The following is a 27,589-nucleotide window of genomic DNA, read 5'->3' as shown; positions in this document are numbered from 1 at the left end:
TTACTTTCTTTTCCTTTAACTTTTTATTTTGAGATAACTACAGACTCACTGGAGGTACAAAAATAGCACAGAGGGCCATGTACTTACTCTTCATCCAACTTCCCCCAATAGTAACATCTCGTAACTAGAGTACAGCATCCAAACCAGGAAGCTGACACTGGGACACTGGATAGCTCTTACTCACCAGTTCATACATGCTGTCGTCTGTGTGCATGCCCTTAACACAGCTGTGCGATTTTATCACGTGTGTAGGTTCACGTAACCACCACCACAGGGAGATACAGACCTGTTCCATGACAAGGCTCCCCTGTGCTAGCCTTCTTATAGGTGCACCCTCATCGCCATCTGTGTCTGTTGACTACCACTAATCTCTTCTCAATCTCTATAGTTTTGTCATAAGTCAACCCCTTCCTTTTCATAAAGGGTTTATGAATTTCCCTGATGAAAAAGTACAAAATGAGGCCAGGCGTGGTGGCTCATGCCTGTAATCCCAGCACTTTGGGAGGCCAAGGCGGGTGGCTCACCTGAGGTCAGGAGTTCAAGACCAGCCTGGCCAACATGGTGAAACCTTGTCTCTGCTAAAAATACAAAAATTAGCCAAGCATGGTGGCACGCACCTGTAGTCCCAGCTACTCAGGAGGCTGAGGCAGGAGAATCACTTGAACCTGGGAGGCAGAGGTTGCATTGAGTCAAGATCACGCCACTGCACTGCAGCCTGGGTGATAGAGCAAGTCTCCATCTCAAAAAAAAAAATTTACAAAGTGGGGCCGGTTGTGGTAGCTCATGCCAGTAATTCCAAAGCTCTGGGGAGGAAGATCACTTGAGGCCAGTAGTTCACAACCAGCCTGAGCAACACAGTGAGACCCCATCTCCACAAAAAAGTTGGAAACTAGCCAGGCATGGTGGCATGTGCCTGCTGTCCTAGGGAGCCTGAGGCAGGAGGATCACTTGAGGCCAGGAGTTCACAACCAGCCGAGGAACATAGTGAGATGCCCATCTCCACAAAAAAATTTTAAAACTAGGCAGGCATGGTGGCTCGTGCCTGTGGTCCTAGCTGCTCAGGAGGTGGAGGCAGGAGGATCACTTGAGGCCAGGAGTTCAGGGTTACAATGAGCTGTGATATGCCACTGCACTCTAGTGTGGGTGACAAAATGAGAGCCTGTCTCTTAAAAAGAAAACAAAAATTACAAAATATACTCCTTTGAGAAATCGTATAAGTAACTAAAGAAACTTTACGGTAATGCGAAAGCTATGTGCATTCAGTAGAAAGCAGTCAATCCTCTCTTGTGATGCTGAGTAGCAGCAGGGAGCCACAGCTGCCAGTCAGCCACACAGTCTCAGTTTAGGGTATTTTCAGCTTACAGTGGGTTATCATGGGTCATGAGTTATGGGAATATCATGATCAGAGAGCATCTGTAAAGTGAGAAATTAGATTTGCTTGATTTCAAGTACTTTATGTATTTGTAGTGGAAATTTGATTTTTAACACTGCTTTTCCTTTTCTCTCTTCAGGGCATTCCTTAAGCATTCAGCAGAACTTGTATACATGCTAGAAAGCAAACATCTCTCTGTAGTCCTACAAGGTAACTAAAGTAACTCCTGAAAGCACCATGACCACCATACCAGCCAGCCTTGGTTTACTGCTTGTCCCCATTCAAGTAAATCACATCAGTTTTAGCTATTTCTTATTTACTACAGTACCATCAAATACATTACAGATTTTGCACATCATTTGAGTAAAACAGTGGCACAGGCTGGGCGCAGTGGCTGAAGCCTGTAATCCCAGACTTTGGGAGGTCGAGGCGGGCGGATCACTTGAGGTCAGAAGTTTGAGATCAGCCTGGCCAACGTGGTGAAACCTTGTCTCTACTAAAAATACAAAAATTAGTCAGGAGTGGTGGTGTGCGCCTGTAGTCTCAGCTACTCGGGAGGCCGAGGCAGGAGTATCACTTGAACCTAGGAGGCGGAGGTTGCAGTGAGCAGAGATCGCACCACTGCACTCCAGCCTGGGCAACACAGCAAGACTCAAAAAAAAAATAAATAAAAACCAGTGGCACAAGGACTGCAAATAGAAGAATAGAAAGTAGTCCAGTTTTTACCCTTTATTAAATTATCCTTCCTATTTTATGGGAAGGGTGGGTCCCATCCCCTAATGGATTAATACTTAGTGTTAATTTTGACAGGGCATTCTCTCTCTGTAATTTTGCTGTCTAATTTGTACAAATTTGTTTTAGTTTAAATACCTTCTGGCTCATGCTAGATTATGACTCTAAGGAAGCAGTTTGAGATGAAGAAATTTAGACTGAACTGCTGAATAGCTAGTAATGTAATATTTGGTAGGAATAAACGGTGATGTAAAAATCTTTCAGTTAAGCAAAGGATAATTACATATTAAATAACTTACAGCTAATAGAATTTGTAAGTTTGCAGATAAAGTTCAATAGACTAAAAACTACCTTCGTATAATACAGTAGTAGGTCCTTTGTACCCATGGCTTCCCCATCTGTGGTCAACCAACCCAGGACTGAAAATATTGGCGGGGGAAAGCTTTGGCCGTAATGAACATGAACAGACTTTTTTTTTGTTGTCATTATTCTCTAAACAGTATAGTATAACAACTGTTTACATAGCATTTACATTGTATTAGGTGTTATAAGTAATCTAGAGGTAACTTAAAGTGTACAGGAGGATGTGCATAGGTTATATGCAAATATTAACATCATTTTATATCCAGGACTTAAGCATTTGTGGATCTTGGTATCCAAAGGAGGCCCTGGAATGAGTTCCCCATGGATACTGAGGGAAGACTATATACTCATGTTGCATAGTATATGAATACAAAATGTTGCTTAAGCTTGCAGAAGTACTTTTTTTTTTTTTGAGATGGAGTTTCGCTCCTGTCACCTAGGCTGGAGTGCAGTGGAACGATCTCAGCTCACTGCAACCTCCACCTCCTGGGTTCAAGCGATTCTCCTGCTTCAGCCTCCCAAGTAGCTGGGATTACAAGCATGCACCACCACGCCCGGCTAATTTTTGTATTTTTACTAGAGATGGGGTTTCACCTTGTTGGCCAGGCTGCTCTCGAACTCCTGCCCTCAGGTGGTCTGCCCACCTCAGCCTCCCAAAGTGCTAGGATTATAGGCGTGAGCCACCGTGCCTGGCCAGGCTTGCAGAAGTACATTTAACAACTGCCAAACTTGATTGACTTTAACAAGGCAAAAATCTTTAAGACTCTTAGAAAAAAATCAAATAGTAATGTGTCATATAAAGTAATCCTGAACTGATACAGTCAGAGTGTGTGTTTAACTCACAAATGCATGCAGAGCCTAATAATCACAATTTCTCTCATCCAGTGGGTGTTCTCATCGTATTGGAGAACCCTACTCATCCTCCATTTCTCCATGCATTTGTAATAGAAAAGGCCTCAGAAGTAGCACTGAACCTTCATTTTACTAGCATTTTTATATACGTTTATTTTTAAACAGTTTGTTAAAAATTTACATACTATGGAATTCACCCATTTTTAATTTGTAATTCAGTAAATTTTAGTAAATATACAGAGTCTAGTTTTGGAAATTTTTCATCACCCCAAAAGTCCCAGCTCCAGGCAGCCACTAATCTTTCTGTCTCTAGATTTTCCCTTTCTGGGCATTTCATATAAATGGAATCATACAATATGTGGCCTTTTGCCGCTGGCTTCTTTCATTCAACATACATGTTTTTGAGGTTCATTCATGTAGTGTGTATCAGCAATCTTTTCCTTTTTATTTCTGAATTGTATTCCACTGTTTGTAAATGCATTTTGCTTACCCATTTACCTGTTGATGGACATTTGGGTTGTTTCCACTTTGTGGCTGTTATGAATTATGCTGCTTCATTTATTTAGATCTTTCATTTTATCAGCAGTGTTTTATTATGTAAGTCTTATATTTATTTTGTTAAATCTCTTAAGTATTTTATTTTTATGTCACTGTGAATATAATTGTTAATTTCATTTTCAGGTTTACTATGTACTCAGATTGTTGTGTACAGAATTTCTGTAACCTTACTGACCTCATTTATTAATTCTAGTAGTTATTTTGTGGATTCCGTAGGAGTTTTTACATACAGGATCATATTGTCTTCAAAGACAGTTTTTACCTTTTTCTTTCTGATCTGAATGCCTTTTATTTTCTTTTTCTTGCCTAATTGCTCTGGCTAGATTCTCCAGTTCAATGAGATGGAGAAGTGTAGAGAACAGACATCCTTATCATCTTCCTGATCTTAGGGAGAGAGTATCCAGTCTTTCACCAGTGAAATGGGAATAACATTAATTGTAGGTTTTTGTGGATGTCTCTGATCAGTTTAAATATGTTTACTTTTATTCCTAATCAGGAATGAAGGTAGAATTGTATCAGATGCTTTTTCCGCATCTAATGAGATAATCGTGTTGGTTTTGTCCTTTATTACTGTGGTACGTTACTACAATTGACAGATGTTAAACCAACTTTGCATTCCTGGATAATTTGGTTTACTCATATTTTTATTGATTTTTACATCTGTAATCATAAGGGATATTGGTCAATAGTTGTCTTCTGATTTCCCTGGCTGACTTTGATAGCGTGGCAATTCTGGCCTTATTGGAAAGGACAACAACTATAAAAGACAGGAGGGAATCGTTTGCCACAGCTTCAGTTGGTAGTGAACAGTCCCACTCTCCCCATTCACTTCTCAGTATTGCCATGTGGCCTGTCAGTAGAAAGATTACCTTATACTTAATACCTTGACAAAAGAGCAGTAGAATGGAGTCTAGACGGATTTTCTACCACAAACCATTCGAATGTAAAAAGTATGAGTGATGAGCTTCTATTATCTGGCAAATATCCATGTATAAAAGACCATCTCCTATTAAATGCTAATTTAGTTTATCTACAAGTCTGTAATATTTTAGAGTTGCTGGAATCCAGTAAAATTTCCTTATACAGATTTGGAAGGCAGCCTAGGTGTGCAGAATACTAAATTATCTAGTTTACCTTTCCTTCCCTTTCTCTCTCAGCATTTTTCTATGTTGTAATCATTTTCTTTCCATTTTATTAACAGAGGAGGAAGGAAGAGACTTGAGCTGTTGTGTAGCTTCTCTTGTTCAAGTGATGCTGGATCCCTATTTTAGGACAATTACTGGATTTCAGAGTCTGATACAGAAGGAGTGGGTCATGGCAGGATATCAGTTTCTAGACAGATGCAACCATCTAAAGAGATCAGAGAAAGAGGTAACAAAATCTTGATGCCTTTTTATCAGTCTTTAAGGATACACAAAATAAAATTTGTGTCATTAAAAGATGAAGGGGCTTTTAAAAAATACTGTATTTAGTACAACTTAATTTCCTTAGTCCAAAGCTAACTAATGGATTAGAGTTCAAATTGATGTACTTATTATAAAGATTATCGTAACTATGAAGGTGAAATTTTTAAAAGTTGTCTATTGAATTTGTCTAAGTGGAAAACTACTGAAAAAATTCTGAATAAAATACTGAAAAACAGATAACAAGCACATTGGCTATTTTGAAAAATCACTTTTGGAATATCATATTTTCTTAAAATGGGATACATAGGTTAAGATGAAAAGTTTGAGAGGGCCACCTTTGCAACAGCTGTGGAGTTAGTGGCTGCCTCGGATCTCTAGTTAGGCTGCGGAAGGCCTTACAAATATCTTACCGGCCAGGCAGGTCAGTCAGATCAGTTTTTAGAAGGTTGTTTCAGAGAGCGCCATTTGACTTGTGGTGTCTCATAAAAAATAGTGGTCACCCGCTACTGCACTTGGGGACACACCACGTGACCTAGGCTCATCCCAAAGTGTTTTCTGAAATATGGGGATGTTTTCTGGATGCTGAGCCTACAGGATCAACCAAACATTAGAGAAGTTTGGTTGATGGTTTTGTTTTGTTATATAATCTAAAGAATTGTTTCTAAGACATGCTTAAACACATATTTTGCTCTTCCCCCTTCATATAGTGGCAACCCGCTCAACTGTGTGCTTTGCTGTTTCAACTTGTTACATGTACTGGGCAAATAAGGGTTGTGATGTTTATCACGGTTGAATGTTACTTCTTGGGTTTGATAGATGTGTATAGCTCAGCTTAGAAGGCAAGTGTTTTAGGCTTCGATGTTTTCTCATTCATCTCTTCTTTAACATCAGCAGTACATTTTGAAGTAAATGTGAACGGCTGAAGGATAACATTAAATGATCCCATTGTCTCTTTGTATTTGCCAGTCTCCTTTATTTTTGCTATTCTTGGATGCCACCTGGCAGCTGTTAGAACAATATCCTGCAGCTTTTGAGTTCTCCGAAACCTACCTGGCAGTGTTGTATGACAGCACCCGGATCTCACTGTTTGGCACCTTCCTGTTCAACTCCCCTCACCAGCGAGTGAAGCAAAGCACGGTAAGCAACCCTGTGGCTGTGGCTACGTTTTCCCTGTTTTTACAACTTTATCGAGGCATAATTGAAGTATAATTCACTGCCTATTTAAAATCTTATGATTTAAAATTCTTACTGCCATTTTCAGCTGAAATTTCTGAATGGATTATTTTGAAGACACAAAAATCTAGGAAATTATTTTTATGAATGAACATTTTTTGTTTTACTCTAATGTAAATGTTTTGTAGTAAACCCCTTTAAAGATGTAAATTACTTTAACCACCTTAAATGTCATGCTTTTGTATTTATATTTCACATTTGGGCTATTGGGTAGTAAAAAACAAAAGCCCTGTTACACGACATTTATTTCCTAGGTCAGTAGGATAAAAAGTTGTACAAAACAAGATTATTTTCCTTCACGAGTTTGAAGTTTCTGGTCACAATTCATTGATGTAGAGGATTTATGACTAAGCAGGGTCTCAAGCCAAACTTGAAACCATTCTGAACCAAAGTGCCATTTCACCCACCTCGAACCAACAACAGAAGCTGACAAATGCCGTGGAGACCATTGAGAGAAACAGAAAGGGGCAGCTCTTGTGGACCTTCAGGAAGCCTTTCTAGGAAGAGGATTGCCCTCATAGTGAGCTCCGGGGTCTTCAGCCTCAGCCGTAAGGCCCTGGGCTAGGCAGTGTGACCTAGGGAGCGGGAAACCTGAGTTCTGGCCCTGGTCTGGGAAAAGTGCTAGGCCCATGTTCCACTCAGGCTTCAGCCTGAGAGTCCAGGTTGCTAACCTGTAAAATGGATCTGTCAAACTAACACTTATGCCTTTAGTCTCATTGTATGAGGTGAAACATTTTGTAAACTGTGAATCATTATGCAAATTTTCCTAAAGACATATGAATTATTCTGGATTTGTTGGTATAAAAGACAAAACACACTGGTCAGTTAAGGAGCTGATTTTATTTAGGCTATTGCAGGAGGGAGAACTTAATTAATGGGCATCCCAAAGAAAAGGACAAGGCCTGGGATTTTATAGTCAGAAGACAGGGGAATCAGGAGGGAGGGCAGTCTCAGTCCACAGGAGCCAGTTCTCAGGACACAAAAGGCAGGAGAGATTGTCCAGCATTGCCACTTTTGGGGAACCCAGGGCTCAAAGAAACTCAACACCGTCAGCCTGTCTCTACAAAAAATACAAAAATTAGCCAGACATGGTGGTGCGCACCTGTGGTCCCAGCTACTGGGGAGGCTGAGGTGGGAGGATGGCTTAAGCCCAGGAGGCAGAGATTGCAGTGAGCTGAGACTGTGCCACTGCACTCCAGCCTGGGTGATAGAGCCAGAGTCTGTCCCCTGCCCACCCCACCAGGAAAGTTTGACCTTTCCAGATACTGTGCTGAGAACCAGTGATACAGGCTTAGAGGCTCCTGAGGCATGGAACGCTCATTTGTTCCTAAAATACATGCTCTCCCAGTTGCTTGTTTTTATTTTTCGTCACCATAATCATTCTTGGGGCCCCTCTCTGCCTCGAGCTAGGCTTTCCCCCTGGCCTTGTTTGCCTCCTTCAGCTCTTCCCCATTGTCTCCCGTCACTACCCCGTGCGCACACAGTGTGAGCCTGCAAAAGGTGCGTGAGGCGAGGACAAAGACTTTGGGGTCTGGGGACTGGGCAGTGCATGGGTGGGTATCTGCGTGGAGGACTCCCAGCCCCCAGACACCACTGCCTCTGCTGCTTGGCTGATGCTGTGTGTGCGGACAGACTTCTCACCAGGAATGAACATTACTGAATTGTATTGAGGGAGCTGTAAAAAATACTTTCTACAAGTATTTCCTCTGCTTTCCCTGTTCATGTTCTAGTGCTCTTTTTAATTTGGCTCTTTCAAAAGCCTTTTCTGACAAATACTAACATGAATCCCCCTCTCCCTTCCTCCCTAGCAGGAACTGGTCATTGTCTAAGGGTCGTGATTCTTAACCGTTCTCAGCCCCTTCCACACAGGCAAAAGCCCAAAGCATTTCTTCCTTTTTTTTCCATTCTGAGGCCACCTTAGGTGCTAGTGGCCAGGTAGTGTTTATAGAAAATCTGGTCTCTCTTGGGATAAATATTTTTAATTTTTACCTTTTAAAAAAGAGAACATCTTTTTTTTTTTTTTTAAGACAGTTTGGCTCTGTCACCCAGGCTGGAGTACAGTGGTACAATATCAGCTCACTGCAACCTCTGCCTCCTGGGTCCAAGCACTGCTCTCGCCTCAACCACCTGAGTAGCTAGGACTGCAGGCGCATGCCACCACGCCTAGCTAATTTTTGTATTTTTTTGTAGAGTCAGGGTTTCGCCATGTTGCCCAGTCTGGTCTTGAACTCCTGGACTCAAGCAATCCGCCCACCTCAGCTTCCCAAAGTACTGGGATTACAGGCGTGAGCCACCGTGCTTGGCCAAGAGGACATTTTCTATATACTTACTGAAGGGCCATTAAAACACGTTTGGGTTCATGTTTTACTAGATTTCAGCTCTTAACAGTGTTTGAAGCAAATGGATTGTTTTTAATCCATGTACATGATGAAATGTCAAGTAACTAAAATTTTTTTTTTTTTTTTTTTGAGACAGAGTCTTGCTCTATCACCCAGGCTGGAGCACAGTGGCATGATCTCGGCTCACTGCAACCTCTGCCTTCCAGGTTCAGGTGATTCTCCTGCCACAGCCTCCCGAGTAGCTGGGACTACAGGTGCACACCACCATGCCTGGCTAATTTTTGTATTTTTAGTAGAGACGGGGTTTCACCATATTGGCCAGGCTGGTCTTGAACTCCTGACCTCGTGATCCGCCTGCCTTCGGCCTCCCAAAGTGCTGGGATTACAGGCATGAGTCACCACTGCGCCTGGCCAAAACTGTTAAGAGTATGTGTATTTGGTGCTTAATGAATTTTTACTTATTTGAAATAGAAAATTTTGTAAAACTTTACAAAATGCCCTGTGCTGTTACACAGCTTAGCCATTTCTTGATGATTCAAGCCGCCACTGTGCCAGGGAATGCCACCTGGCTGTGATGTAGTCATGGCCTCCTGACTGCTATATTCTTGTCCTAATAACATTCATTGTTTGCCTTTTTAATAATTTCCAAATAAATTCTTGGGGGTTTTTTTTTGGTAGAAAATTTGGAGAGTACTGAAAGGTACAGAACAAAGAATCAGACATTTCCCATCATCCAGCGACTTTGTGTCTGGAGTTATTTCCTCCAGCGAACTGTTGTGTATACACTGCTGTGGTAGCCTGCTGCCATCAATCAGCTGAGATGAGAGTCCTTTCTCCACATTGCTAAATGTGACTGTGCTTCATAGAAATGGTCTGGGCTGCCTTCCAGAGGAGCTCCATGTCTTCCTCACAATGCGGTGGTTGGCTGTCACCCTGTAGCCTTGTGTTGCCTCAGTTTACTGTGGTGGGAAGCCAGATAACTAGGCTGCACCCGCCCAGAGTCCGGGCTAGAGGTGGACTCCTGTGAAGGAGGGGTCTCCTGTGTACATGGTCTCCATGGTTTTAGCCACATGCTAGGACCACAGGGAGTTGATCCCTTCCTTCCTACCCTGAGTCTGTGGTCTGTGATTTGAGATCACTGGCTCAGTGAAGTGTAGCTCCCCACTTACGAAGTAAGTTATAAAATTGGTGGCAGTGATTTCCATCCAAAGATTTTGTTAATCCACTTACCAACAGGTAACTACTTAAATGTACTGACCGTGTGCTCATAAAAGTAAAATACTGTAATTATAGAAATAAATTCAACATGTTTAAGACTTTCTAGTATCATGTTAGTGAAACTTCTCTTAATAACATTCTTATTGCCCAAAGGGCACGGCTTCCTTGGGGTCCTAAGGCAGAGGGCACCTGAAAAGCACACTCCTTGTTCATGGGGACTGTGGGGCCCTCTGAGCTCAAAGGCCAGGAGCGTCTCCTCTCTTGAAGTGAAAGTGCCACTCTGGTGGGTTTTGAGGGCTGCAGTACAGAACATTTAACCTGTGTAATGATGAGTGGCTCATCTGAAAAAAGGCATTCATGAGAGAATCTTTAGTTTTGCAAATATTTATTTATTTATTTTGCAGGAATTTGCTATAAGCAAAAACATCCAATTGGGTGATGAGAAGGGCTTAAAATTCCCCTCTGTTTGGGACTGGTCTCTCCAGTTTACAGCAAAGGATCGCACCCTTTTCCATAACCCCTTCTACATTGGAAAGAGCACACCTTGTATACAGAATGGCTCCGTGAAGTCTTTTAAACGGACAAAGGTAAATCACAGCTAACAAAACGTGATGTTGGCTCACACGTAACCAAACACCTCTTTTTCAGAACAGAGAGCGTTAAAAGTAAAGGCACTTCCAAGAGTAACACTGCTAATGCGGGTTTCTGAGGGGTCATTCCCTTTTTAACTCAAATGACTGTATCCCAGCTTTCTTCCTGGTGTCTGAGGCCCACAAAGTCTCAGTACCTGAGAGTGGGCAGATTGCAGCTTTGAGCCTGCAAGCCTGATTTACTAAAGCCCCATTTATCCATTTCTTGATGATTCAAGCCGCCACTGTGGCAGGGAATGCCGCCTGGCTGTGATGTAGTCATGGCCTCCTGACTGCTATATTCTTGTCCTAATAACATTCATTGTTTGCCTTTTTAATAATTCCCAAATAAATTCTTGGGATTTTTTTTGGTAGAAAATTTGCAGACTACTGAAAGGTACAGAACAAAGAATCAGACATTTGGCCTCCTGACTGCCTCTGTTCAGTTTGCCATTGTTCTTGATAGAATCGGCCAGGTCTAGTGTTTTTTCTAGCCCGTCTTAGAACTTATCCTTAAGCAAATTAGTGGATAGGAGGTACTCTCATCCCGCCCCCATTCAGGCTGATAGTAACAGCCTAGGTAGAGTCAACACATAAAAAAGTGTAATTCCAGGGGAGGAGGATTAGAATAAGGACACAAAGGAAGGGAGGAAAATGTTCTTTGAGGCTGAAATTCCATTAATTTTTCATAGTATTGAGTTTATATTTGCCATTGCATCCTTCAATCTTTCTAAAAAGGGAATCCCCGGAACATAATAAAATCTCTTCTGTATAGAAAAGCTACAGCTCCACACTAAGAGGAATGCCGTCTGCCTTAAAGAATGGAATCATCAGTGACCAAGAATTACTTCCAAGGAGAAATTCATTGATATTAAAACCAAAGCCAGATCCAGCTCAGCAAACCGACAGCCAGAACAGTGATACGGAGCAGTATTTTAGAGAATGGTTTTCCAAACCCGCCAACCTGCACGGTGTTATTCTGCCACGTGTCTCTGGAACACACATAAAACTGTGGAAACTGTGCTACTTCCGCTGGGTTCCCGAGGCCCAGATCAGCCTGGGTGGCTCCATCACAGCCTTTCACAAGCTCTCCCTCCTGGCTGATGAAGTCGACGTACTGAGCAGGATGCTGCGGCAACAGCGCAGTGGCCCCCTGGAGGCCTGCTATGGGGAGCTGGGCCAGAGCAGGATGTACTTCAACGCCAGCGGCCCTCACCACACCGACACCTCGGGGACACCGGAGTTTCTCTCCTCCTCATTTCCATTTTCTCCTGTAGGGAATCTGTGCAGACGAAGCATTTTAGGAACACCATTAAGCAAATTTTTAAGTGGGGCCAAAATATGGTTGTCTACTGAGACATTAGCAAATGAAGACTAAAATAGGGTGTTTTCTGAACATTTTGAGGGAAGCTGTCAACTTTTTTCCTCTGAATTAACATTGCTAACCTAGGCGTTTGAATCTCTAATAACTTTATATGTAAGAATAATAGTTGGAATTTGCACTAATATTTAAAAACATGTTGAATCATGCTTCTTTCACACTTATTTTAAGAGAGATGTAAATTTTGTTCCTGTCCTCTTTCTGTCATTACAGGTCTGGCTCTTGTAACCGTGATCAAACTGTTCATGTTGTCTGCTACATTTTTGTCTCCATCCATTTTTCCTACCACCTCCTGAAGGCTATCTGATAGTCAGTCACATTAGCAGCCCCAGGCAGCAGACAACAGGAAAGTTAGGAAATTTGTGTTTCGTGTCATTTTTAGGAGCATCTGATAAAACCTCCAGCAGGTTTTAGGAAGTATTCATGTATTTTTCTGGTTACTTTCTGTCGTCTCTAATTGAACTCACCTGATGAAGGTTCAGTGTTCTGGGGCCAGAATTTATGATTTTAGATCACCTTCTTTGGAACCTTAGATCACTGTGTTTTGAAATCATGAGTTTGCTTTTAACTTCATAGGGTCAACTTTAAAATGATATGCACTGTTAATTTTAAAGCATTTGCTGCAGATAATTAAACTTAGAAGTGCCTTTGACTTTAGGATACAAATATTACAGAAGAAAATATAATTTCACTTTTTAAAATTGGGGTGGGAAAATCCCATTGCATATTTGAAATAGGCTTTTCATACTAAGCTTCATAGCCAGGAGTCCCCAGAGTCTTGTTCCTCTGAAAGCCACTGGGGAGTGGCCTCTGGGGTGCTGATTCCACAGAGGTGTATGCTGTAGACAGGAGAGTGCCATCTATGCCAAAACTCGCCCTCAAAAACAAACAAGGCTTGCTGGGAGGCGTGCTGGGCTTGGCCATCAGTATTTCCAGTGTGGTAAACTATTGCTGGCACTTCCCCCTGGAAATAACTAATGAGGTTACGAGTTGGGCACCTGCACAGATGTCCTTCTCTCATAGTTCCTAATGCTTAGGAATAGAGGAGAAATAAAAAAATGGATTCTCTCAAAACACTGCCATTTGAATAGCGACAGAAGTGCTCCCCCAGCCCCCAACTTTGGACAGCAAAGTTGAGGAGAATGAGCAGACACAGTTGTTTGCTTGATCTGAATCTCTCTAAAGTAAAGTATTTCCAAACTGTGTGACAAGAGCCTACCTACCACTGTAGCGGTCAAAGCTGAAGCTTCTTACAGCAGTGAAACGGGGCACCACCTCCCCCACACTCCTCATTCCCCGCTTAAAACATGGATACTTTCAAATTTGACTGTTTCTTAAACTGCCATCCTAAGATATGGAAAATTTTTATAGTAAAGTGTCTAGTTAGCTTATTTCCTTTTCTAAAACAAGTGTTTTCAAGATAACTGTATTTTACCTTTATATGTACTGAATAGCTGTTTCTTTTTGAATTATTTGCCTTTTAAAATTTGATAATGTCTCTGGATATAACAGGACAGGAGTTCTTAAAAAATATCTTAAGAAATTCACTTTATGGGTAAACCCAAGGTTTTTGCCAACTTGTTGCCTAGAAAATAAGGGCTAGTTTCAGTTTATACAAATAGAATTATTAAACATTTTACAGTCCTTGATTAGAAACCAGACCCAATCTCCTTATAACACCACAGCGTATCCTGCCATTGACAGTGTAATCACAATTCTCCCTTTTTCATTTAGCTGCTTTTTTATTATTACTAAATGTTTTGGATTGAGCATTTTTCCCTCTGTAATTTTCTTCCTTCACGTTTATTTTAACTCTTGTAGTATTTTATTGTTGTTAATTTACAAGTTTAAAAATATTAGGTACTATTAATAATGGTTAAAAATAGAAAAATGCATATTTTTGTATGATAATCAAATGTAAAATACTTTTATTTTTGCTGGACAGTTGTTATATCATGATTATTGTGCTACAGTTTATTGTGCATAATATGAAAAACAACTATGACAGCCTTCAGTCGGGCCAGGGTGAAGCTGCTTATACCACCTCTGCCGTCAGAGGGACATGTGGTGACAGCAGTGGTGTGGCTGCACAGGGCGCACTAGAGAGAGCTCAGCACCCCTGCTGCCCGCCAGCAGAGCCCGTGCTGAGGGAATGCCGCACAGATGCTGATGCACTGGGTGAAATTTCTAGTATTGAACGTAAAGGTGTACAGTGTCTTGCTGTTATTTTATGATGGAAACTGATTTTGAAACCAAAAATAGCTAACTAACTTTATTTAAGGAAAGGATATTAATTTGTACTAACAGAGGGTGAAAGCTGTTCACATTTGTCAACAAAATCTGCTTGCTGCAGTAGTAACCTCAAGTGGTTAAAACTTGATTTCCCGAGAAAACTAAAACCTTTGTGCCTAAAATTGATGACTTGAGTTCAAGTGGGATGAGCAAGAAGATGTGTTATCTTGTTGTTCAACAGTATTGAATGTGAAGGAAATTTTGATGGCTTAATAAAATTCCACAGCGACTGTTTGTTGTTGTCAGTATGAAATCATCTACTGGAACACAGTGATTGATAGAAGAGGTGAAGGCATCTTCTCCTACCCATACTTCTGTGTCATCCATGGGATGTTTCTGCTTGCCCTCTAAAGCCAGGTAGTGATCAGTAACTTTTTTTAACAGCAATTCGGAAGTGGCTAAAGTTAAAGCCATGTGGATATTGATAGATCATGCCCTAACTGGTCCTTCCATTCAATAAATAAATATAAAAACTGGGGAGTAATATTCCCCCAAGAAGGCTTCAAAGAAGTCAAGAGACAGACTGGGGTTCCAGTCCCTGACTCCCGGGCCTGGCGCATGGATAAATCACCTTTCTACCACACCCCCTTGCCCAGCCTGAGACCCTCCCACAATGGTGATGAGCAGCCGATTTGACTGTACTGTCAACAGAGAAAATACCCCTATCTAGTTATTAGGGATGGTCCCAGGGAGATGGACAATGAAGGACAACTGCCTCTGATAAAGACTTCATTCCTTTCATGATCCGGGCCCAATCAGTAGAACAAGCATTTACATGTTATAAATCAACACAACTTCATGAGAATGTTTTGATTCCTAAAGAAATTGGAATTTCAACTGTTTCAGCCCTTCTTAGATAATCATAAAAGTTTAACAGCTAAATGTGTATAGGGCAGTAAAGAAAAACTTAATTCAAGAATCTCGGTTTCCCATATAATTAATTACTTGAAGGAAACACTGGTTATGCTAGTTTTTAAATTTTTTTTTTTTTGAGACAGAGTCTCGCTCTGTCTCCCAGGCTGGAGTGCAGTGGTGCAATCTCGGCTCACTGCAAGCTCCACCTCCCGGGTTCACGCCATCCTCCTGCCTCAGCCTCCTGAGTAGCTGGGACCACAGGCGTGTGCCACCAAGCCCACCCAATTTTTTGTATTTTTAGTAGAGATGGGTTTCACCATGTTGGCCAGGATGGTCTCGATCTCTTGACCTCATGATGCGCCTGCCTCGCTCAGCCTCCCAAAGTGCTGGGATTACAGGCATGAGCCACTGTGCCCAGCCACTACTTTTTTATAAAAAAAACCTAAAGATGAATCATCACTTGTTTTTGAGTTTTCCAGCTTTTTGCACATCTAATCATATAGATGCATCCAGCTCCAATAATGGTCAACAAAATTTTTCTCTTTTAAAAAAGTTCATTATGAGCTGGGTACAGTGGCTCAATGCCTGTAATCCCCAGCACTTTGGGAGGCCAAGGTGAGTAGGTCAGTTGAGGTCAGAAGTTCCAGACCAACCTGGCCAACCAACATGGTGAAACCCCGTCTCTACTAAAAATACAAAATTTAGCCAGGCGTGGTGGCGCACACCTGTAGTCCCAGCTACTGGGGACCCTGAGGCAGGAGAATCACTTGAACCTAGCAGGCGGAGGTTGCAGTGAGCCGAGATCACACCACTGCACTCCAGCCTGGGTGACAGAGCGAGACTCTGTCTCAAAAAAAAAAAAAAAAAAAAAAGTTTATTACCCACTGTGTGGAATCAATGAGTGTATTCAAGCAAACACTGTTTTGTGATATGCAGACACTGTAAAATGACAAGTCAAACTATCAGGTTTATAATGCACGATAACAAAATTAAATAAAACATGTTTTATACTCTTGAAAATCTTACATTAATGTATGACCAAATATCCCCAATTCCATACCTTTTAGCTAAGGCTTTGGCTCTTAGCTCCAACTGCAACCACATGGCAGACTTCTACTTCAGCCCCCAGCTTCTGCAGTTCAGCCAGCCAGATCATCTGCTTATGTGAAAGACGATCATTGGGGCCTTTAACTTCCACCAGCTGGAAAAGAAATTTTTAAAAGTTGTTATTAGTATCTTACTGAATGAAAAGCCATTCAAGTAAGTTGTAGTTGTCACTGACAACTATTTAAATGGCTCTTCTGCTCTCTCACTGTATTTGTAAGTGTAACACAAATATACGGATGGTCCTTCACTTACAATGGTTCACCTTAGGATTTTTTGACTTAAAAATGGTGCAAAAGTGATATACATTCAACAGAAACCATACTCTGAGTGTTGATCTTTTCCCAGTATGATACTCCATGCTGGGCAGCAGCAGTGAGCCACAGCTCCCAGTCAGCCACATGATCATGAGGATAACCAGTACTCTACGGTTTGCAGTGAACTACATGATCTGCCCAACTGTAGGCTAATGCACACATTCTGAGCACATTTAAGGTAGGCTAAGCTAAGCTATGAGGTTTGGTGGGATAAATATGTTAAATGCATTTTCAACTTAACAATATTTTCAGTTGATGTGTAGGATTTATCAGGACATAAGGCCATCATAAGTTGAGAAGCGTCTGTATGTAGCTAAGAAATTTATTCAGAAATTCTTCTATTCTGTAGAAACTAGACAGTTCTTCACAGAGGATGAGTAAACTGATTCTTAGTATAGCAAATGAAAAATTGTTTTAAAGCATGCACTGGATTTTACTTCCTTGCTTAAAACCCTCCGATTACTCTGTTACATTTTCAATTAAATCTAACCTTCTTGCCATGACCAGTCTCTTCCCTACCCCAAGGCCCTCACTTCCACTTGCTACTTGCTGTTCCCGCTGCCTGGGACATTTCTCCCTGTTCTTGACATGCCTGACTTCTTACCTTTCAATGCTCAGCTTAAACTGATCTGGAGAGGTCACAGCTCTAAGTATATCCTCCCTATGCACTTCTTTCATGGCATTCATAAGATAAAAATATATACTACATGTCATCTTCATGAAGGCAAGAATTGTGTGTTTTGTTCACTACACATCACTAGACTTGAAGACACAGCAATAAAAACTATAGGTAAAATATAGAAAAAAATTGTTTAAATACAGCATTTAGCAGCCTAAGGGACATTTAATTAGAGTCCCCAAAGGAACGAGAAAAAAAAATACTTAAAGAAAAAATGGCCAAAAATTTTCCAAATTTGATGAAAACAGTAAACCCAAAGATTGAAGAAAATCAATGAATCCCAGGCACACAAATGTAACGGCACCCTAGGAAATATCACAACTGTATAATCAGGGGATATAGTCAAAGCAGCCAGAATTTTTAAAGCCAGAGGAAAAAAAAAGATTCTCTGATTGGAAACCATGCTAGTTAGAAGACAGTAGACTAATATTTTTAAAGTATTGAAAAATAACTGTCAACATAAAATTCATTGCACGGAGAAAATATCTTTCAAAAACAAAGGTGAAATAAAGGCTAAGACATACAAAACCTAAATACAGCCATCCCTCAGTATCCATGGGGGACTGATTCAAGGACCCCCTCTGTTACCAAAATCCATGGATGCTCAAGTCCCTGATATAAAATGGCATCGCATCTGCATATTCTAGCACATCTTCTCATATACTTTAAATCATCTCTACTTATAATACCTAATATAAATGCTATGAAAATAGTTGTTATGCTGTATTTTTATTTGATTTGTTTATTGTTGTAGTTACTTTTTATTGTTTTTCTTTTTTCCAAATACTTTCAGTCCATGGTTGCATCTACAGAAGCAGAAACCATGGATACAGAGGGCTAACTACTGTAATTCATTACTAGCAGAACTTCTAGACATGGAAATTTTTTCTTTTTCTTTTTTTCTTTTTTTTTGAGACAAGGTCTCACTCTGTTGCCCAGGCTGGTATACAGTGGTATGATCTCAGCACACTGCAGCCTTGACCTCCCAGCCTCAAGCAGTTCTCTCACCTCAGCCTCCCAAGCAGCTGGGACTACAAGTGCACACCACCACACCCAGCTAATTTGTTTATCGTTTTGTAGAGATGAGGTCTCACTGTGTTTGCCCAAGCTGGTCTCCAACTCCTGAGCCCAAGCAATCCGCCCACCTCAGCCTCCCAAAGTGCTGGAATTACAGGCGTGAAAGGAAATTCTTCAAGCAGGAGAATGAGACTACACAGAAACCTGGATCTACACAAAAGAATAGCAAGCACTGGAAATGCTATGTACATGAGTAAATACAGACTCATTAATCAACTGTAGAAAGCAAAAATAATATGTTATAGAACATATAACACGTAGAAGTAAAATATATGAAAACACCACAAAGGCTGGAAGGGAAGATATATATTATTGAAAGGTTCTTTTTACTCTAAAGTGTGTATCACCTGAAGGTGGATAAGTTTAAGATATATAATATACTAACGCAACCACTTCAACACAATGAACAGTTACAGCTAACAAGCCAGCAAAGCTATCAAATGCAATCTTTAAAAATAAGACAGGGCCAGGCACTGTGGCTCATGCCTGCAATCCCAACACTAAGAGACCACGGCAGGTGAACTGCTTGAGCCTGGGGATTTGAGATCAGCCTGGGCAACATGGTGGAACCCCATCTCTAAAAAATACAAAAACCACAAAAATTAGCCAGGCATGGTGGCGTGCACCTGTGGTTCCAGCTACTCAGGAAAAAGACAAGGGACAAAAGAGTTCTGAGACAAAGAGAAAATAAGTATCAGGATTTAAAGCTAAGGATATCAATAATCAAATTAAATGTAAATGTTCCAAACACCCCATTAAAAGACAGAGGTTAAGTTGGATTCAAAAGTAAGACCCAACTATATGATGCCTACAGGAAATCCACATTAAAAATAAGATAAAACAGGTCAAAAGTAAAAGAATGGAAAAATGTATCATGTTAACATTAAAAAAAAGAAGGCTGAAGTGGCTACATGTTGACAATATCGGACAAAGTTGATTTCAGAGCAAAGATTACCAGGTGTAAAGGGGGGGTCACTGCATAATGATAAAAGGGTAGACTCATGAAGAGGACATGACAGTCCTAAAAGTCTATGCGTCTTATAACAGACCTTCAAAATACATGAAGCAAATAGTGATAGAAACGCAAGAAGAAATACACAAATTGGCTGGGCACGGTATACTCTCAGCATTTTGGGAGGCCAACGTGGAGCCCAGGAGTTTGAGACCAGCCTGGGCAACATGGTGGAACCCCATCTCTACAAAAAATAAAAAAAATCAGCTGGGCATGATGGTGCATGCCTATAGTTCGGGCTACTCAACAGGCTGAGGCAGAAGAATTGCTTGAGCCTGGGAGATCAAGGCTGCAGCGATCCAGGATCGCACTGCCACTACACTCCAGCCTAGGTGATAGTGAGAGTCTGTCTCAAAAAACAAAAACAAAAAAAAAAAGAAAAGAAATACCACAATTATAATCAGAGATATCAATATTCTCTCAATAATTTATAGAACAAGTAAATAAGAAATCAGTAAGGACACAGACAACTTAAACAACACTATCAACCAACTTGACCTAATTGACATTTAAAAATACTGCCCACAACAAATGCTAAACACACATTCTTTTCAAGTACAAACAGAATATTCACCAGGGAATACCATATTCTGGACCATAAAACAAGTCTCAACAAATTTAGTGGGATTCAAATCATACAAAATATGTCCTCTGAATACAATGGAGTTAAATTACAAATCAATAGCAGAAAGATACCTGAAAATCTCTCAAGTGTTTGGAAATGTAAATGACTCACTTCTAAATAAGCCAAGGATCAAAGAAGAGTCAAAAGGGAAATCAGAAAGTATTGTGAACTGAATGAAAATGAAAACAACTACTAAATTTGTGAGGTTCAGATAAAGCAGCACTGAGAAGGAAATTTGGAGCACTACCTAACTCTATTAGAAAAGAAGTTCTCAAAGCAATCACCATAGCTTCCACCTTGAGAAACTAGGAAATAAAAAAACAAATGAAACCAAAAGCTGATTCTTCGAGAAAATCAGTAAATTGATAAACCTCCTGCCAGACTCATTAGGGAAAAAAGAGAAAAGACACAAATTACCAATATCAAGAATAAGAGCATGACAGAGATAAAGATTCTACAGATATTAAAATACAGTAAGAAATACATGGCCGTGTGCGGTGGCTCACACCTGTAATCCCAGCACTTTGGGAGGCCAAGGTGGGCAGATCTGAAGCCAGGAGTTCAAGACCAGCCTGGCCAACATGGCAAAACCTCATCTCTACTAAAAATACAAAAAAAAAAAAAAATTATCCAGGCATGGTGGTGCACAGCTGTAATCCCAGCTACTAGGGAGGCTGAGGCACGAGAATCACTTGAACCCAGGAGGCGGAAGTTGCAGTGAGCTAACTCACGCTACTACACTCCAGTCTGGGCGACAGAGCGAGACTCCATCTCAAAAAAAAAAAAAAAGAAAAGAAACAAATATAAACAACTTTAAGACAATACTTAAATGAAATGGACAAATTCCTTGAAAGACACAAACTAGCAAAGCGCAATCAAGAAGAAACAGATAATATGAACAGCCTTATGTTGTTTAAAAATAAATTTAATTTATAGCTTTAAATTTTCCTCCCCCCAAAATCTCCAGGCCCATACTGCTTCACTGGGGAATTCTATCAAATGTTTAGGGAATAATACTAATTCTACACCAACTATTCCATCCCACTCTGATGCTGGTATGACTCTGAAACCAAAACCCAACAAAGAGATAATAAGAAAAGAAAAGTACAGCTCAATATCCTTCATGAACATATATGCAAAAATTCTTAATATTTTACAAAATCAACTCCCATTTTTGCTGATCAAAATAATGCTGTTAAGATACCAATTCCTCTCAGATTGGTCTACAGATTCAAAGGAATTCCAATTAAAATCTCAGCTGGCTTTTTTTTTTTTTTTTTTTTTGAGATGGAGTCTCGCTCTGTTGCCCAGGCTGGAGTGCAGTGGCGCAATCTCGGCTCACTGCAAGCTCCACCTCCTGAGTTCAAGCGATTCTCCTGCCTCAGCCTCCCAAGTAGCTGGGACTACAGGCGCCCGCCACCACACCCGGCTAATTTTTTGTATTTTTAGTAGAGACGGGGTTTCACCATGTTAGCCAGGATGGTCTCAATCTCCTGACCTCGTGATCCGCCCACCTCTGTCTCCCAAAGTGCTGGGATTACAGGTGTGAGCCACCGTACCCGGCCTCAGCTGGCTTTTTTTTTTCTTGGAAACTTAAAATTTGATGTTATAATTCAAATAAAAATGCAAAAGAGCCAGAACAACTTTGAAAAACAAGTCATTATAGGACTTACACTACCTGACTCCAAGATGTATCTAAAGCTACAATAATCAAGAAATACAGACAAACAGATCAATGGAACCGAAGAGTATATAGAAACAGACCCACATATATATGGGTTACTGATTTTTGACAAAGATACAGAGGGAATTCAGTGGAGGAAGCATGGTCTTCTTGACACATGGAGCTGGAACAAGTGGATATCCACACACCACAAATGAATTCCAGTGCATGCCCCACACTGTATACAAATGGCGTCTCAAATGATCATAAAACTGAATGTAAAACCTAAAACTATAACACTTCTAGAAGAAAACAAAGGAGAAACTCTTTGTGACCTTGGATTAGGCAAGTATTTCTGACATGTGACACCAAAAGCATGATCCACTAGAGAACAAATAAGTTGGATTTTGTCAAACTTTGAAACCTCTGCTCTTCAAAAGACACTATTAAGAAAATGAAAAGACAAGCCATAGACTGGGATGAAATGTCACTGATAAAGGACTTGTATCCAGGATATATAATTTTTTAATCTCAAAACTCAATAATGAGAAAACAAATCACCAGTGATGGGCAGCAGGGCTGGGCTAGTGGACAGCGTTCAAGGAAGTGTTCACTCTCTGAGCTTTTTAAAAAATTTTTTGTGGGTACATAGTAGATGTATATATTTATGGGGTACATGAGATGTTTTGATACAGGCATGCAATGTGAACTAAGCACATCAAGGGGAATGGGGTATCTGTCCCCTCAAGCATTTATCCTTTGAGTTACAAACCATTATACTCTTTAAGTCATTTTAAAATGTACAATTATCGGTAAGCTTCTAAAATAGCTCCTGGTGTCCACACCCGTTGTGACCCCCTCCCTTTGAGTGTCAGCTGGACTAGAGACTCGTTCCTAACCACAGAATACAGCAGGAGTGATGGAACATCATGTCCACATCAAGTCATAAGAGATGGAGCTCTGTCTTGCTCACACTCTGGGGCTCCTCTCACCCGCCTGCTCTGATGAAGCCAGTCGCAGGGGACAGGCCCACAGGAACCCAGGCCCTCGGCCCAAAAGCTCTCAAGGAATTCAATCTTGCCAACAGCCACTCAAGAAATGCCTACTTGTGGCCTCTGATTCAGTTGCTAATAAGGTTACCAACAGGACTTTCCATTCTGCCTCAACTGACCTTAAAGTGACGGCTCTGGGAGTTCCACACCACCAGGTCGGGGAGGCCCCCTCGACAGTGTCGAAAGTCAGCAGCCAGGTGCCTGCACACACCACTGAGCACAGGGCCCCCCAGGCAGGAGACAAGATCCTGAACACAAAACACAGGACAGTTAGCCACTTCCCTCGTGACAGAGAATGGAAATAGGCTCCAGGGATCACGAGACGGAGAAAAGCTCAGTGTATATGTAATTCAGTGCACATGGACCCCAGGCCCACCATGCGCTGTTCTGCTGCTTGTACCAGAGCTGCAGAGCCATGGCTGGAATCCCACTGGCAAGTGGTGGGAGACTGGTCCTCCTGTGGTCAGTTTCCAGGCTTCTGCCAGCGTGGCCATGCTGGGGAGCGCTGAGGAAGAGGGATGTGGAGGATGCACTCAGGAACGCGACAGCATGGCCTCATAGAGGGCAGCAGTTGAAGGAACACAGAAGGTATCCTCCCTGCCTCAGCCACAGGGCAAGCAAAAGAAAGCTGTCAACTCAGGGGTGGCAAAGGCACAGCTGGGGCTTTTCTAACACCCTAGTATGTTTCCATCACTAACAGTGGCATTGGGGCCAGGGGGATAGGGTATTCTCATATATATAATTTATATAATATTAATATATATATTATTATATATTTTATACATTATATTATATATGATATCTTATATATTATATATTTTATATATTATATGATATATATTATATTATATATTTTATATATTATATATGATATATATTATATATTTTATATATTATATATGATATATATTATATATTTTATATATATTATATATGATATATATTTTATATATTATATTATATATGATATAATATATTATATATTTTATATATTATATTATATATGATATAATATATTATATATTTTATATATTATATTATATATGATATAATATATTATATATTTTATATATATTATATATGATATAATATATATTTTATATATATTATATGATATATTATATATTTCATATATTATATTATATATTGTATATTGTATAATATATAATATATATTATATATGTAATATGTAATATATAATATATAATATAATAAATATAATAAAGATATAATATATATTTTATATATGATATATACTATATATCATATATATGCACACACATACATGTATTTACATATACACACATGTGTATTTTGATAAAGTTGCTGAAAAGACAGCACTGGGGCGGTGTTAACTTTCTGAGCAAATCCTGCCATGCAGGTGAACCATTACCTGAGCTTGCTGAAGAGACGTGAAGCGATCCCAGCTGACAAGGGAAGCCACTCTGCCTTCCTGCTCATGCCACGTGGCTGCCACCCAGGCCCGCAGGCTCTCCTCGGGGGCATCATGAATCAGCTGCAGCCTGGCCTCAAGGGCTGGGCGTCTGCTTGTGAAGAAGCTGTCTGTGCACAAGTCCAGGGGGAATGCCTGTGTCACAGGGAAAGCAAGCTGTCATACTGTGCCTGCAGAGAGCCGTGTTCACCAGAGGACTAGTCAGTACATACAAAACTTGGAAACCGGCCAACCGATACATTCTTTCTCTCAAAAGATAAGTAAAAGTTAATTGATATAAAAGCAATTTATTAAACTTGTTTTTTAGAGTAATAATTTGCAAAAACAGCTTTTCGCTTAGCTGGGTGGACCTCTGAACAGGCAGATGTGCCCATGTCTGTGAGCTCCTTGGCACAGTGCCTGCGACACGGCAGGTGCTCGGGAGGGCTGATGCTGATGGTACTTTATACGAAAGGTCTAAATGTAAGGTGGAGGCTAAATTAAAGTTTAAAACTTCACATACTTACATCTTAAATTCTATTACTCAGATTTTTAAAATAAGTTATCATCTTGACCTGTGGATGACCCAAAGGACCGTAACAGAGATGGTTTCTGCTGGCTGTGGACACACGGTGCCCAGGTGGGCGTGAGCCACGGATGTGTGCAGAAGGACCTACTCGTGGGGCAGGGGCACTGGAGTACCTGACAGGCGTTTCTGAAGACATCCGGAATCCCATCCATGAAGATGATGTCCCACAGGAGGAGGCCATACAGGGTGCTGAAGGTGGACCCTTCGCCATGAATCCCTAAGACAAGGTCACACACACACACACACACACACACACACACACAAAATCTGTTTTATCTGTTTCTTCCAAAACACCACCATAACCTACTGCACACTCAATTTCAAGAAAATAATAGAAATATTTTAGATTCAGAAGCAAATGCTGTTTTCACGCCATTCCCAGTTTATTTTATACAGTATGTTGTTTATATACAGAGCCTTAAGGGCAAAAATCTTAGTAATCATAGAAAAATTCAAATGAACATTTCAAAGCCACAAAGCAGTGGTTCTCAAACTTTAGTGAATAACCTAAGAAACATGTTTAAAAGAAAAATAGGCAGATACCCTCCTCAGGTTCCCAAGGCTGGGACTTAGCAGGGCTGGGCTGGCACAGAATCCCCATGCAGGCCCTGATGCCGGAGGTCCCTGGGCCACCCCTGAAGAAATGCTTCCCTAAGGGGACCTCCCGGAGGCCGGCAGCAGCCACCTCCGTTCTTGGCCTCAGCAGGTGCTGCTCTGATGCACCTCATCCCCCTGGGTACTACACTGCCCTAGCCCAGTGCTTCCGATAGTCAAGGCTTTTACAGAGACATCTGGCCTTAAAGATCACCCACTTCAGTGCCCCTCCTCACGTCACACAAATGTTTTACTGACTGGGAGATGACCTGAGAGACAGAAGTCAGGTGCTGAGGTCACAGAGTCAGAGGCAGGGTCTGGTGTGGGATGAGGGGGTCAGCCTTGGCACAACACACAGACCTGTGTCCCTGAGCAAGCCCCAGCTCATCCAGCTGCCCTCCAAGTCCGTACTTCTCTGCACATCAGCCCTCCCGACAGAGGAGGAGGCCACATGGATGCCTCTCCCCACAAGACCACTGGCCAGAGGAGGTGCTGACCACCAGACCCCCATCCTGACATGCCAGTACTGGCAGCAAAGCTCCTCTGGCTGGTCCCACCTGACATTTACAGGCCCCAACCCATCTGCGTGGTACCACAGTGAGTGGGATCAGGGGTGCTGTGAGAGCAGAGGGCAGGAAGCCACAGCCCGTCATGCCTGCCTGGGTCACCTCTGTCCTGCACTTCTGAGGCTGTGCTGCTCTCTGTCCTGTCTTCCTGTCAGTTCTAGCCCCTCATCCCTGCAGCCCGTCTCAGGGATTCAAAAGGACAGCGGTTCACTCAGGACTCCTGGCTGTTGCCAAGTCTTCCAGGAGGACTTTTCTTCCTAGAACACTTCATGCTCTTTCCCAGCCAGGAGTGGAGCTAGGACCTGATTTCCAGTCAGTGTTCCGTCCTGGTGAATACACTGACGATCAGGCAGGAATATAAAGGCCAGATCATTTCTGAACTCCTTTGTTTGTTTTGTTTTGAGACAGGGTCTCACTCTGTCACCCAGACTGGAGTGCAGTGGCACAATCTTGGCTCACTGCAGCCTTGACCTCCTGGGGTCAAGAGATCCTCCCACCTCCGTCTTCAGAGTTCAAGTGATCCTCCTGTCTCAGCCTCCCCAAGTGCTGGGATTACAAGTGTAAGCTACCGTGCCTGGTTCGTTCCTTAACTCCTAAGTGGTCCATGCTGTGCATTTGTGTTATAAGTGAAATCATTTTTGGTGCAGTACTTCAGAAATCACCTCCCAGAAGAGGTTGAGATCGCTCTGACACAAAATTCCCTGTGGCATAAAGCCTGGCAGCCAGAGTTCAGCCCAGTTTCACGGCATCGATTTTAATCAGGGAAAAATAGTTTCTACTCTGGGAAAGGAATCGTGTGTTTTTCAGGCTCATGGCTCAACTGAAAGCATTTCAGCGCTCCCACGTCCCAGCCTGCTTCCTCCTCCAGCGAGTGTCCAGTTTCCACGTCTCTCGGGGCCTTGAATGTGCATTCTATTCTTCTATTTCTAACCATTTCAGGCCTACTGTATCTCTCTGTCTTCACTGGCATTTGCACGTCTTCCCCAATAACATCACCCTTCCCTGTAAGTAATAAAGATATTATGTAGATGAATCTCAACACTCATCAGAAAGAACCTGGGCTTTGTAAACTCCTATCTTGTGGTTGTCTTTCTATAGTACTTGTTAATCTTCCGAACACTCGGGGAATACTGAAATCATGTCCTGATTTTCACACATCTGAAAATATCAGTGTTTTTAACACTGGTAACCCTGCAGCCCGGGCACAGGGAGAGTCCTGCCAGGCCCAAGGGCGGAAGGCTCAGTGGCTGTTCCCGAAAGCGACTAGCATGGGCCGCAGGGCCCCTGAGAGGATATCTGGGGCCAGCTTCTAAAATCCCAGGGAAGGGGCAGGAGAGAACAGAAGGAACACTGAATGGAAGTGGGTGTCCGTGGGGTTGAGCACACTGTCCCCCTGACTTCTGTACAAAGGCTTGTGCAGTACCTTCCATAACTTTTATAAGTTTTTATAAAAGAAAAAAGATCAGAGCCAGGCCCTGTGGGACAACTACCCCTGACCTACTCCTTATCATTGATAAGGGGAAGAATAGGAAGACATCCCCCAGCCCACAGCATCTTCCACTGTGAGCAGAGGACAGAGAGAGGACAGCAGCCCACTGCTGACAGCCCATCCAGTGCTGCTGCTCGTCCACCCGGGGCTGGGTGCCACA

At 41.7% G+C, this 27,589-nt stretch overlaps 2 protein-coding genes across 12 annotated transcripts in view, besides 1 other annotated feature; one reads left to right on the top strand and one right to left on the bottom strand.

The window, feature by feature from the left end:
* The window catches only part of MTMR10 (myotubularin related protein 10), a 72,913-nt gene that overhangs the window by 38,079 nt on the left and 7,245 nt on the right, over nucleotides 1-27,589 (top strand). For 3 of the 7 annotated variants that reach the window (XM_047432770.1, NM_017762.3, XM_047432772.1), the window contains 5 exons: nucleotides 1,512-1,582; nucleotides 5,079-5,248; nucleotides 6,250-6,420; nucleotides 10,478-10,660; nucleotides 11,478-14,609. In XM_047432770.1, coding sequence (XP_047288726.1) covers nucleotides 1,512-1,582; nucleotides 5,079-5,248; nucleotides 6,250-6,420; nucleotides 10,478-10,660; nucleotides 11,478-12,080 — 1,198 coding nt within the window. In that variant the 3' untranslated portion in view covers nucleotides 12,081-14,609. Of the gene's footprint in view, nucleotides 1-1,511; nucleotides 1,583-5,078; nucleotides 5,249-6,249; nucleotides 6,421-6,770; nucleotides 10,175-10,477; nucleotides 10,661-11,477; nucleotides 14,610-24,739; nucleotides 26,996-27,589 lie in introns of those variants that run through there. The other 4 variants (XM_047432771.1, XM_011521738.4, XM_011521737.4 and 1 more) reach the window with 4 other exon arrangements.
* The window catches only part of FAN1 (FANCD2 and FANCI associated nuclease 1), a 39,257-nt gene continuing 22,109 nt past the window's right edge, over nucleotides 10,442-27,589 (bottom strand). For 4 of the 5 annotated variants that reach the window (XM_011521370.3, NM_014967.5, XM_024449874.2 and 1 more), the window contains 5 exons: nucleotides 24,894-24,997; nucleotides 24,153-24,347; nucleotides 22,879-23,007; nucleotides 16,291-16,431; nucleotides 10,442-11,984 (listed from right to left, as the gene is read on the bottom strand). In XM_011521370.3, coding sequence (XP_011519672.1) covers nucleotides 16,294-16,431; nucleotides 22,879-23,007; nucleotides 24,153-24,347; nucleotides 24,894-24,997 — 566 coding nt within the window. In that variant the 3' untranslated portion in view covers nucleotides 10,442-11,984; nucleotides 16,291-16,293. Of the gene's footprint in view, nucleotides 11,985-16,290; nucleotides 16,432-22,878; nucleotides 23,008-24,152; nucleotides 24,348-24,893; nucleotides 24,998-25,142; nucleotides 26,943-27,589 lie in introns of those variants that run through there. The other variant, XM_047432250.1, reaches the window with a different exon arrangement.
* Nucleotides 25,378-25,878: an enhancer, noted in NCBI's record as "H3K4me1 hESC enhancer chr15:31219875-31220375 (GRCh37/hg19 assembly coordinates)". NCBI's record gives its function as "activates a minimal SCP1, AML or CMV promoter by ChIP-STARR-seq in naive H9 embryonic stem cells {active_cell/tissue: H9 hESC(naive)}" and the evidence as "EXISTENCE:reporter gene assay evidence [ECO:0000049][PMID:30033119]".

Source organism: Homo sapiens, chromosome 15, assembly GCF_000001405.40.
Source record: "Homo sapiens chromosome 15, GRCh38.p14 Primary Assembly".
In the NCBI taxonomy this organism is placed as follows: Eukaryota; Metazoa; Chordata; class Mammalia; order Primates; family Hominidae; genus Homo; species Homo sapiens.
This window is presented reverse-complemented; position numbering and strand designations above follow the sequence as displayed.